The sequence below is a fragment of the Homo sapiens genome, chromosome 3 (genome assembly GCF_000001405.40).
Source record: "Homo sapiens chromosome 3, GRCh38.p14 Primary Assembly".
NCBI lineage: Eukaryota > Metazoa > Chordata > Mammalia > Primates > Hominidae > Homo > Homo sapiens.
In genome coordinates, this window is record NC_000003.12 from 16,126,683 (window position 1) to 16,139,652 (window position 12,970).

Below are 12,970 nucleotides of genomic sequence, written 5' to 3' on the forward strand. Positions count from 1 at the left end.
GACATGACCCACGGGCTCCAGGTAAACAATGACATTCTTATCAGGCTGCCACAGGCCAAAACTTGCTTTGGAATGGGCAGGTTTGGACCACCCAGGTGTGCTGAGTTAATCCTTCATTGCACAGCATCCTTCTGCCTCCTTCTATTGGCTAAAGCACCGCTGACACAGCTGAATCCAGGCAGATTGGGAGGTCACTACAGTCGCATAACAAAGGGCATGGATTCAGAGAGAGGTGATGATCTGGGGCCATTAATGCAATTCACCATGAAGGCCCCACCTGGGCTGAGGCGTGGGCTGGCACATGGGCAGCCACGGGTGGTCATCCTCGTCTTATCGCTGCTGGGACATAATGCATACTCACATCTCTGTCCTGTGCTGTTCTCCACCTTCTCACAACCTCTCCTCTATCCAGAAAGTTCCAACTCAAATTTCAAGACTTTCCTCCTCCATGAAGCCCTCCCTGGCCACCCCAGCAGACAGGGGCCTCCGCGTGAACAGACGATGATGAAACTAGTGATCACAGTTTTACCTTGTCTAATGCTTTGAGATGGGGAGACAGCTCCTTTGTCACGCTTTCTGATTCTTTGTCTGTCCCCTTCTCCTGATCATCCTCAAACTCAATTTCACCCAGGATAATGACTTACTCAGTTCCAGGTTTGCTTCGGAGACTCCCAGGCCCAGCCGTCTGGTTGTATTCCTGACTGAGGCCTGTTCTCTGCCAGGAGTGGAAAATGCAGATCCATTCTTCTGACTGCGGTTTCCAGTCCTCAGCTGGCACATTCCCCGCTTGATTCTTCTCCTCCCTCATGCGGAGGCTATTTCCACTGCAGCGCTAAAGTAGTTCGGACCCCTTACAATCCAAGCTCCATTTCCCAGGCCTGCAAAATGCTTTGTGAGCAAAGATATTGCCTTCTCCTTGATGCCCAGGGTGTGCAGGTGGGGGAACAATTCACATGGCCTGAATCACAGCAACTCCTGGGCCTGTCTCAAAGCAAAACCAAGACACCTGATTGTTTTATCTGACCTTGAAGATGTCCACTGCCTCTTCCTAAATGCCACCTCCTCCATGAAACCTACCTTAATCCCTTAGTGGGAAGGATTTCTCCTCATTCTGAAAAATTACATCTCACAACACATTCTTCATAAGTGCCCCATCTCCCACACCATGTTGTAGGTAATCTAAGGCCAGGGGCCATATCTGTTCCCTCCATGACACCCAAGGCTTAGGGCACTGTTCAGTGATAGCTGGTAAATGGTCTCAGACAGCCTCAGTCTCTAAAAGTCAAACTGGAAAGAGAAAGAAGAGGTCAGATGATCTCTATGTCCAACCCATCCCTGCAGGTCCAGAGCCGAGGAACAGGTGAGGCCACTCGATGGGGATACTGAGGCTGAGAAGGGGCCTCACAGTGCCAGGTGAGTGGCCAGTCAGGCAATAGGGAACTCGACTCCCTCACAGTGGGGATTTGTTTTAGTCACCTTTATATCTTAGGACTTAGTAAAACGCCACCCACCAAGAAATATCAAGACTAAACAAAGCCATGAGTGAGGAGCAGGCAGCAAGTTGGAAGCCAGAGGAGCAGGTAAAATCAGGCACTAACATTATAGATGGGACCAAAGCAAGTGGTTTCTTTAAATTTTTTTTTTTATTTTTCATTATTATGGGTGCGTAATAGTGTATATATTTATAGGGTCCATGTGATGTTTTGAAACAGACATGCAATGTGTAATGTAATCACATCAGAGTAATTGTGGGTATTAATAAAAAGATCTTGAAAGGCTGAAGTTGGGGGTGGGATAGTGGTCCCAGAGTGAATCTGGTAGGCTTCATTTTTTTCCTGCTCCCTCCAGGGTCGGGGCTGTGGCCCTTAAGCAGCAGCTCACCCACCATCACCCCCAGGCTGTACCTATGTCAGAGACTTCGATAGCGTTTAGGAAGGACGCTCTGGCTTGCCCCCATCGATACTCAGGCATCAACTCATCCATGGTGGCACCATGTTTACAGGGCCACCAGTGGCCGGGGGTGTCTTGGGAAGACCAGACCAGTGGAAGCCCCAGTTAAAGGTAAGAGAAGCTCCCGGGTGCTCTAGAGAAGTGCTTCTCAAACCTGAATGCGAGCACGAGCCACTTGTGGATTTTGCTAAAATGCTGATTCTGGTTTGGTAGGTCTGGAGTAGGGCCTGAGATTCTACCTTCCTCACAAGGCACCCGGGTGTTGCTGACGCTGCTGGCTCGAGGACTTTATCTGAGTAGTGAGGGGCCAGACTAGCAATGGATCTTAATGCTGGCTGCAAATAATCACCTGGTGGAGCTTTAAAAAATACCAATATCTGTTGCCAATGGTGGGATGGCCTGCCATCGTGTGGGTGGTTCTCCAAGTGTGGTCCCTGGACCCACTGCATCAGCATCACCTGCAAACTTCTGAGAAATGCAAATCTCAGGTCTCACTCCACACCTCCCAAATCAGAAACTGTGGAGTAGGGCCCAGCAACTTGGGTTGTAACCAGCCCTCCAAGTGCATGCTGTAGTTTGTGAACCTCTGCATTTTTTTTGCATCCTAATCTTATGCAATGGGAAGTATACAACATCACACAAAATCATTTATGTGAGGTTCTTACTGGACATATTTGACTGAATCTAGTCATGAGGAAATTATGACTTTCTCAGGCTTAATAATGCTTTGTGGTTCTGCAGGAGAATGTCCATATTCTTACGGGAGGTGTGCTGCAACATTTAGGGGTGAAATGTCTATTTTCTTCAGCGACTTGAATGGTTAAAGGGAAATGTGTGTGTGCATGCATGTGTGTGTGTGTAATAAGGGAGATGGAGTAAAATTTCACTTTGTTGATTCAAATGTGTACCCAGTATTCAGGGCCTTGATTCTATGGTAGCTTGTCTTAAACTGTGGTCATAAAACCACCTGCATCAGAACCTCTAGGCTGCTGGTTTAAAATGTAAATCCTGAACCTCATTTATACATAGGAATCGGGGTCTCTGGGGTAGGGCCTCAGGTAGGCACCATAGAGGGTTCAGAGCTAATATTTGAGAGTCATTGTTTGACACTCTTTGTCAGAGAGTATTAGGTCACCAATCCAGACTGCTACAGGGTCCAGGAGGTAAACTGAACAAGTGAAGCAGCAGCTGGTGTAAGGCAGTCGACGCTGGTGGGGACTGCAGCAAATGACAGAATGTATGCCCAGTTTAAAGCTCCAACTTCCAGCTGACTGGGATACAATGTCTTGCTAGTGCTGCTCAGTGTTGCTAGATCTTTCTCTCTTTTTTCTCAAGAGACATCAGAAATCTGGAGTTTTTAATGTGAAACCCCTCAATTTTAAAATGTTGGTGACTTACTTAAAAAGTATTGAAACACCACTGAAGTGAAACAAAACATCTCTGGAAATAGTATTCAGCCTACTGACCACTCGTTTGCAATCTCTGGCATGGACTTAGCTAAGCAACCAGAGTACTATGAGGGCCATGGTTCAAGGGTTCCCTAGCTCATCAGAGAAGAATTCCACAGCTTGTACTCTGATCATGTTGCCATGTCCCTGAACAATGACTTCCTCTGCAGGAATCTTCCCAAAGTTCCCCTACTGTTCATTAATGGTGTGATCTGTCCACAGTTTCCCTTCTAGGCTGTTAGTTGGTGGAGACAGGACTGTTTAGTGGCTGAAGCTGGGTGGCACAACATACCGAGTGTTCCTTGGCCTGCAGCCCAGAGGCCCCTGGTGCTCGATTTTCCTGGACCACAGTGCGTCTTGCTCACTGAAACCCTTACAGAACCAACAGCTGGAAAGTTGTTTGCTGAGCCCAACCTGGGATTGGGAGAGCAAGAGAACTTGTGTGGACAGCCCTTTCATTCTAAAGGGTTTTTCTTCCCATGTTGGGCACTTCCTGCAGCTCCCAATCCAATAACCATGTCAACTGTCCACAGATCCCAGGATACCGAGTCTCTGGTCCCATCAGTTCCACTAATCTATTGTATGAACTTGAACCAGTCACACCCTCTCTGCACTATCAGCTCCTCTCCTGTGGAAGGAGGCTATTGTCAGTGATTTTTCAGCAGCAGAGCTCTTTTTAAAAAATTCTACTGAAGTTTTCCAGCAAAACCCCAAAATAAAATCAATGCAATAAAGGCTTTCCTCAGGAAGTTTAATTCTTCCAAGGTTGAATGGTACATGTCAATGTTTGCCAAACCCCTCATGCATCTATAAGGTCCTAAGGAACAGAGTTTGAAAATTATGGGGCTTGCTCAAAGTCTTTTTTTAAAATTTGGAAATGCCATATCTAAGATGTTTTCGAGCAATTTCCTCTAGGTCTCCCATTAGTTCACACATTAACTGCAACTGCAAGGAAGTCCACCTCTCTGAGGCATTTATTGAAGCCTCCTGCTTACACAGAACAGTACTAGATGCTGTAAAGGGAAATAGCCATGGCCTCCAATTTAGGGTTATGGTTGACCTGGGGTGTCAAAGAGGAAAGGAACCTTGGACATATTCTAATCCTATATTTATAACCTATTCTAACCCATGGCCTCTTTCTGACAAATATAAAAATCTCACAGGCTCAGAGCTTTTGATGTAATCCCCACCAGTGGTTTGAGAAAGCTTTTGTCCAGCTTTGCCTTCTGTAAATTATATTATGAAAACAATAGGTATTTTTTTTATGTTCCAAACAAAAATTATGTAACAGTGTATTATTGGCTTGGCTTGGTGGCTCACGGCCTGTAATCCCAGCACTCTGGGAGGCCGAGGCGGGTTGATCAGGAAGTCAAGAAATCAAGACCATCCTAGCCAACATGGTGAAACCCCATCTCTACTAAAAATACAAATAATTAGCTGGACGTGGTGGCGCACACCTGTAGTCCCAGCTACTCAGGAGGCTGAGGCAGGAGGATGGCTTGAACCTGGGAGGTGGAGCTTGCAGTGAGCCGAGATTGCACCATTGCACTCCAGCCTGGGGAAAGAGCAAGACTCTGTCTCAAAAAAAAAAAAAAAAAAAAAAGAGTGTATTATTGACCTTGCATTTTCCAAAATATATACATGCCAACCCAAAGAACGTGATACACTTCCTTCATCCCCTGCTTTCCACCTTTACCCCACCCTCATCTATTGACAATAACTGACTCCGTTCATTCTTTTTCATTTATATTGCACCTTGGTTTCCTCAACTATAAAATGTGAGGACATAATATGGAGAGTTGGAGCAGGGGATTGGTGAGGATACAGGTGAAACAAGGTTGGCCTTGAGTAGATAACTGTTGAAACTGGGTGATGGGCACATAGGGATTCATTAACTCTTCTTTCCATTTTTATGTTATGAAATTTTCTATAATAAAAAGGTTAACATGAAGGTAATTTCTATAATAAAAACATTAAAATAAAGATAATGTTACTGATTTGCAGGTTGATATTGAGTATTTTACCCAGTTGCAAGCCAAGAAGCACTATGAACAGCATCTTCATTTGCTGCAGCCACATCTGACCTTGGTTCCCATACCAAGTTGCCACTTCCTGACTGTAACCATTTGCGGCTATACCAGAATCTCACAATGTGCCCCGTGAAAAAAGACAAGGAAATGCAGCAGTCCAAGCCCCTAACTGGAGGAGGCTCCTGACTCTGGGGACTTACTCCTTCACTCATCTCCTGCCAGCAGCAGATGGAGCCGGTCTGGGCTATGGAAAGGCCCTGAGCGCAAAGGGTTAACACGCTGCCCCTGGAATGACTGGGCTTTCCCTCGATTGGTGCTGCCTTTCAGGCCCAGGCCTGCCTGATGATTCTTGGTGTAGGTTAAAGGACCATGAATTTGTGGCTCCTGAGTGCGTGGTAATGAGCTCAGGCACCAAAAATTGAGAACTGGTTATACTTGGCTTCTCCATCCAGGTTGAAATAGCTCACCTGTATTCTGAGTGGTGAAGAAAGGGCTTTGAGAACACTGGATGCCTGAGGATGGGCAGTATAGCCTCCAAAAAAAAAAAGAATCAGAAGCTGGTACTAACTAAAGAATCTGTGAGACCGGGCACGGTGGCTCACGCCTGTAATCCCAGCTACTTGTTAGACTAAAGCAGGAGAACTGCTTGAACCCGGGAGGCAGAGGTTGCAGTGAGCCAAGATCGCACCATTGCACTCTAGCCTGGGCGACAGAGCAAGACTCTGTCAAAAACAAAAAAAAAAATCTGTGAGGCTCAAACATGGGGGTGAGGGGTGAGAATAGGGCACCAAAAGGACTGACATCTAAATAATCTGTCAGTGACAAAATGGCTTCCAACTAATTAAACATAGAAAAACCTCTTTTAGGGAAGATAATCCTATTGGATCTGCTTGCAAGATTTTTCCAGCCAGCTTCTGCCTCTTGGAGCTTCAATTAAAAGCTGTTTAGCAGATGGCAAATTCTGAGTTACAAAGTTAGACTCTTTGGCAACGATATGTGCTTTTGCTTTCCCAGGGGATCCTGGCCACATATGGCCCTGGAAGAGGCGCGAGAGCTCTTTCTTGGCACACAGTAGAGAGCTCCTCTCCCAGCTTAACACACAGATGACAGGCATTTCAACATAACCATCAAGGGTGGTGAGCAAGAGGGGAGTTTTCAGTTAATTCAGAAATATGGGGGCCCTGGAAATCATAATATATCAGGGCTGGAAGGGAACTCAAACAGCGTCTACTACAACCCCTTCTTCATACAGAACGAGGGCACTGAGCCTTGGAAGAGGTTATGCAATTTATCTAAAGTTGCCCAGCAAGGGAGAAGCAGAGTCGGGATCAGGCTTGTGCTTATTTACCATAGAAGCACTTCTCTATTCACTTGGAGGACTGTGTTCATTGCCTGACCCTTTCCTTATAATCACGAGGCTCCTGAAGAGATATTTTACCAATGACCTGACAAATTTGCCAGAAGGCCTTGAAAGGGTCATTCATCCTCATGTCCACCTCCTGCTTTATTGCAGGACAAAACCAGGACCCTCTGAAATGGAACTTCATCACTCTTCTCTTCAAAGCTTTCTACTACAGTTGAAGTCACAGTTTCTCTTGGGTGCTGTCAAAGAGAAACAGAACCGGACACTAAATTAAAGATTGGGGGACAGGTTTTATTCAGTAAAATTACAGTAGAGGAGGGAACTCAGTATAACCTGAGCTCAAAGAGTATAACTCTATCAAAACAACTTCCATTCCACAATTCTATTTTGAAGCTCCTCTTTTGTAGTAGACATGGTCATGTGCTGGACATACAACAGTGGACAAGGCATTCAGGGTCCCAGCTCTCATGGGTCTCACAATTCAGAAGGAGAAACAGACATCGAGCGTATCATTTTAATAATATTTACATAATCACAGTTGGGGCAGTTTTAAGAAATAAAAACACAGTAGTGCTCTGATGATCTATTACTGCATAACAAACCATCCTAAAACTTAGTCTTACAACAATGACAATAGATTGCATAGTATTGAGCAGTCAACAGAGATAGCTCATTCCTGCTCTACTTGGCATTAGCTAGCATGGCTCAGAAGTAGGGTACTGCTATCATTTGAAGGAAAACACACTCACCTGTCTGGCAGTTAATGATGGCCGGCAGCTGGGACCTCAGCTGGAGCTGTCAGATGGAATACATACACGTGGCCTCTCCATGTGGCCTGGGCTTCCCCACAGTATGGTGGCTGAGTTCCCAGGGTGTGTATCCTGAGAAGGATAGTGGTAGAAACCACATTCCTTTATGACCTAGACTCAAAGTCACACATCGTTGCTTCTGCCCCATTCTAGTCAATATTGCAAACAGAAAGTATTGCACCATTTCAAAGGGAGGGGAAATAGACACCACCTCTTGATAAGGGAATGGCAAAATTTTGGAATAGCATGATAAAAGTATAGCTGTGGTGATTTTTTCAAAATACAATTTCTCTCAAGTGTCTGTGAGAAAGCTAAGAACCTATCAGAAGGAATCAAGAAGGTGTTTTTAAGCTGGGACCTGGAGGGCGAATAAGACTAAGACAGATAAAAAGGGAAGGAGTAGGGGAGAGGAGAGAAATGTTCCAGACAGTGGATCCTGGCACAGAATGAGCTTGGCTACAGGAAGAACTGAAAGGAAGCCAATGCGGCTGCAACATTTATAATAAAACGAATGAGCAAAGGTTCATAATAAAAAAGTTGCAGCAACTTGAAAGTGCTTAGTAGGGACCCTCCAGCTACCATCAGGTAATGCCATGCTTAACCAGCCTACACCTAGTCTCTTGGTTACCTCTGCCTGCATAACAAACCATCTCAAACTTAACTGGCATACAAGAACAACATCATTTATTTTTATTATTTTCTCTCATGGTTCTGGAGGTTGACTGGATTCAGCCAGACACCTTTCACTTGGGGCCTCTCATGTTGCTGTAGTCAGGTGGTGGCTGGGCCTGGAGTGACCTCAAAGCCTTTCTCACTCACATCTTTGGTACCTGGACTGGGAACACTCAAATAGCTGGAGCTAGACCAGCTGTTGCTGAGCATGCATCTCTTATTCCCACTCTCTCACTCTCTGGTCTTTCCATGTGGTCCCTCCAGCACAGCAGCTCCTGAGTAGTCAAACTTCTTAGAGGGTGGCAGATGACTCCCAGTGCAAGTATCCCAAGAAAAACCAGGAGAAGCTGCATGGCCTTTTCTAACCTAGACTTGGAAATCAGGTAGCGTCACTGCTATCCCATGCTATTCACTCAGGTGATCACAAAAGCCTGGCCACTGTTAAGGGGAAGGGACATAGATATTTTTTTTTTAAATGGAGTTTTGCTTTTTGCCCATGCTGGAGTGCAATAGCACGATCTTGGCTCACTGCAACCTCCACCTCCCACGTTCAAGTGATTCTCCTGCCTCAGCTTCCCGAGTAGCTGGGATTACAGGCACTCAGCCAACAGGCCCAGCTAATTTTATATTTTAGTAGAAACAGGGTTTCACCATGTTGGCCAGGCTGGTCTCGAACTCCTGACCTCAGGTGATCCACCTGCCTTGGCCTCCCAAAGTGCTGGGATTACAGGCGTGAGCCACTGTGCCCAGCCGGGACATCGACTTTTTGATGACAGGAGTGTCAAAGAATTTGCAGACATGTTTTAAAACTACAACACTTAGGGTAACCATATAACTCACTGTCCAAAGCAAGATACTTTTGAGAGTCAAAGTGGGCACTTTTGAGAGTCAAAGTGGGCACTTTTCAGGCATGAGCTAGGACTGTCCTTGGGAAACCAAGACGTGTGGTCACCCCACTGCCATGCCCGCACGAGTGGGAGCACAAGCTCTCTTAAATTCTTTTGTCTTTCCGACATTCATCATGCCATTTGTAAACATATGCTTTACTCATTGAAATTGGTTTTAAATTTTATTTTCTGTTTCTTTATTTTCTGTTTCTTGCTTTTAGATGATGAATGTTATGTTGAGGTCGCCTTTTCATAATGAATCTGGAACTTGAGAGCTACAAATCTTGCCCAACAATATCTTTCATGCAAGCTGGGACAGCTGCTGGCACTGTGGATATAAGTGCTTAGGATGCCTTCTCTCTTAGATGAGAGAACCCCAAGCAATGGAAGAATTTGCTTCAAGAAATGCTTTTTAAAAATCTCACTTTTTGGCTAAGTGGTAAAAAACACACACACAGTGATGACTCATCAGTTGAAATCAAATCCTTCATCCCAAAAAAGTGTTTTTATAAGAAGTGGGTGTTTTTTTCTTTCCCCAAAGGCAGACTGCATAATATTTGGTGCTTCTCTTTTCTGAATAATTTATTCCGTTTCAGTGGAAATTGACAGTTTCAGACTGGAGCCAATAACATTTTATTTTCAGAGCTATGCTTGGTACCCCCATTATCCAGGGATCTGCTTTTGCCTACAACCCTAAGGGGAGTTCAGCCATCAAACCGTTTCACACCAGCACAATTCCCCTCTTCCTCCCTTCCCTTTGACCAGCTACTAACCTGTTCTTCTGAAGACCCTGGAGCAGAATAAATGCCTAGAGAGAGCATTTGGAGACCGCATCCAGGTATACAAAAGCATGGCAAGTTTATTGTTTTTCAGGAGCCCAATCACAGAATCGATCCATATCTCCTGACCCAGGTACTCCACTCAGAAGTCTGTTCTTTTCACAGCTCTCCTCTACAAAACATTTTCTTTCTGTTGTTTCTTTCCTAAGACTCTACAACTCTGAAAGAAAGCAACGTGATTCATTTCTGATCCGTGAAAGTAAACATCCTATTCCATTCCATTTGTCTTCTTGGAAGCTTCCACAAATGTCTCCTTGCTAGAAAACAAAAATACAAAACTTGTACTCATTTCTGTTCCAGACTGAAATACATGGGAAACTTTTATGGGTCCTGGACTATAGTCTGGCCTTCATGAATTAAGAAGATATTTAAGAGAGATATAACAATAGAGTTAAGACTAGGAAAATAGTTTTAAAAACTTCTCAGGTTGAAAACAGCAGCATCCAACAGCTGCTCAGATCAAGAGTGGGACTAGACTTAGGGTGACCAACTGCTATGGACTGAACTAAAATACATATCTTGAAGCCCTAACCTCTGATGTAATGGTATTATGAGACAGAGCCTTTGGAAGATGAGGAGGTTTAGATGAGGTCATAAGGGTGAGGCCTTCATGATGGGATTAGTGCCCTTATAAGAAGAGACACACCAAATACCAGATCTCTCTCTCTCTCTCTCTCTCTCTCCCTCCCCCCCCATACCCCACTGTCTAGCACGTGAGGACACAAGAAGAAGGCATCTGTTTACACACCAGGAGGAGAGACCTCACAAGAACCCAATCATGATGGCACTTTGATCTTAGACCGCCAGCCTCCAGAACAGTGAGAAAATAAATTTCTGTTGTTTATGCTGTCCTGTTTAATGGTATTCTGTTACGGCAACCTGAGCTGACTGAGACATTAACGGTTCCAGTTTTCCTGGAATTGAGTGGGGATCCTGGGATGTGAAACTTCCAGTTTTCTAACCTAGAAAGTGCTGGGGGCACCAGGGCAAGTTGGACTGTAGTTCTCTACCCCTGCTGCTCTGTCTCAAAGAGCCAGGGTCTGCCCAGGAACAAGAAGAGGAGGCAAAGATGCCTCAGCCAGGCCTAGAGGTGAAAGCACAAAGCCCGAGGGGCTGCCAGGCCGTTAGACTTCTAGGTTCAGAGGTGCTAAGGAGTGCGTGGGACAAAAGGCTCACGGTGATTAAGGTGAACAATATTGTTAACAGTGCAAAAATATTAAGGCAAAACCCCAATCTACAATGAAGTAATCATTTAACTTCGTAAAACAAATTCCACCTGAACTTCTGGAGTCTCTTTCAGGTCCTTCCCAGTGAGAGTCCTTGGGAGTTAGGGGTGGTCTGGGCTTCTAGTCAAATCCTGGGCTTCATTCCTGTTCCTCTCATAGGCTCCAGGACCTCTCTCTCCAGCCGTCTCAGGGATAGGACGTTAATTGTTCAAGCTTCCTTTTTGTCCTTGCTGACCCTGCGTACCCCTACCCGGCTTCAGACCAAGAGGACATGCTCCCTGTGCTACCTTGTACTAAAATGCCTGCCGGGTAGAGGGGGTGGGGAATGGGGGATGGGCAGTTAATAGCATCATGGAGTCTCCTCTCCAGGTCTGTCTTCAAGAAAAAAAAAATACCCAAAAGTTGGGAAAAAGGCAAAAAGATGCATGACCTTCACTGTCAAGCTTGCACATGGGCCATGCGACTTTCTAGTAGAATTATTATTTATTCTCGATTCATGATTTTACAGTTCTCACAGTTCTCAAAGGTTAGCTGTTAGTTTGTTGAGAAGCACTAAGATACAAAGAGGTGTTTTTCTTTTTGTTTTTTTTTTTGAGACGGAGTCTCGCTCTGTCGCCCAGGCTGGAGTGCGGTGGCATGATCTCAGCTCACTGCAACCTCCACCTCCGGGGTTCACACCATTCTTCTGCCTCAGCCTCCCAAGTAGCTGGGATCACAGGCGCCCGCCACCACGCCCAAGTAATTTTTTGTATTTTTAGTAGAGACGGGGTTTCACTGTGTCAGCCAGGATGGTCTCGATCTCCTGACCTCGTGATCCGACCGCCTCGGACTCCCAAAGTGCTGGGATTACAGGCGTGAGCCACCGTGCCCAGCTGATACAAAGAGTTTTTATCCAATAACAGTGCAAATAATTTTTTGTCCTACAGAAATAAAAATGTCTCCTGTTTAGTAGAGAAGATAATCCTAAAGTTTACAGTTTTACTGCTCTGAAGAAAAACAATCAGCTTAGTATCTAACTTTGAGATCTTATTCTACAGTTTTTTCTTTTACTAACCACATTTACATCTGTTTTTCTTATATACTTGGTTCTCCCATTAATGAGTTAAAATAAAACCTTGACATGTACTCATTATGTATTTGTATGAAAATCATGCTTTTTTTTTTTAACATTTTGGAAATTAGACTTTTTGAAGTTCCCCTCACTGCACACCCATTTATCTTTCCCTTTGAACCCACAATGATGTAGTTCTAAGTCCAAGTCTTCTTCATCCTTCTGCCCCACAAACAGAGAAAACCTGGCTCTCCGTCAAGGCTGTGCTGAGTGGCACCTTTGGGTAAAAATTCTTTTAAAAGAGGAATTACAGGCCGAGGGCGGTGGCTCGCGCCTGTAATCTCAGCACTTTGGGAGGCCGAGGCGGGTGGATCATTTGAGGCCAGGAGTTCGAGACCAGCCTGGCCAACATGGTGAAACCCTGACTCTACTAAAGATACAAAAATTAGCCGGGCTTGGTGGTGGGCGCCAGTAATCCCAGCTACTTGGGAGACTGAGGCAGGAGAATCACTTGAGCCCGGGAGGTGGAGGTTGCAGTGAGCAGAGATCGCGCCGTTGCACTCCAGCCTGGGTGAAACAGTGAGACTCCATCTCAAAAAAAAAAAAAAAAAAAAAGGAATTACTCGTTGGCAGAGTTATACATAAGAGCAAAATCTGAACACTTAAATGGCCAGAAATAGAAAATAGAAAATTAT

At 45.1% G+C, this 12,970-nt stretch overlaps 3 long non-coding RNA genes across 3 annotated transcripts; 1 reads left to right on the top strand and 2 right to left on the bottom strand.

Annotated features, from left to right (window-relative positions):
- Positions 1-284: 284 nt before the first annotated feature.
- LOC124906217 (uncharacterized) lies at positions 285-3,775 on the bottom strand. The gene is made up of 3 exons (XR_007095836.1): positions 3,691-3,775; positions 1,078-1,287; positions 285-981 (listed from the first exon to the last, which is right to left on the bottom strand). It is a non-coding gene; the product is annotated as an uncharacterized LOC124906217 (long non-coding RNA).
- Positions 3,776-6,952: 3,177 nt separating this feature from the next.
- LOC124906216 (uncharacterized) lies at positions 6,953-10,250 on the bottom strand. The gene is made up of 3 exons (XR_007095835.1): positions 9,933-10,250; positions 7,541-7,672; positions 6,953-7,030 (listed from the first exon to the last, which is right to left on the bottom strand). It is a non-coding gene; the product is annotated as an uncharacterized LOC124906216 (long non-coding RNA).
- LOC124909349 (uncharacterized) lies at positions 8,989-10,845 on the top strand. The gene is made up of 2 exons (XR_007095837.1): positions 8,989-9,997; positions 10,709-10,845. It is a non-coding gene; the product is annotated as an uncharacterized LOC124909349 (long non-coding RNA).
- The last annotated feature ends 2,125 nt before the right edge of the window (positions 10,846-12,970 follow it).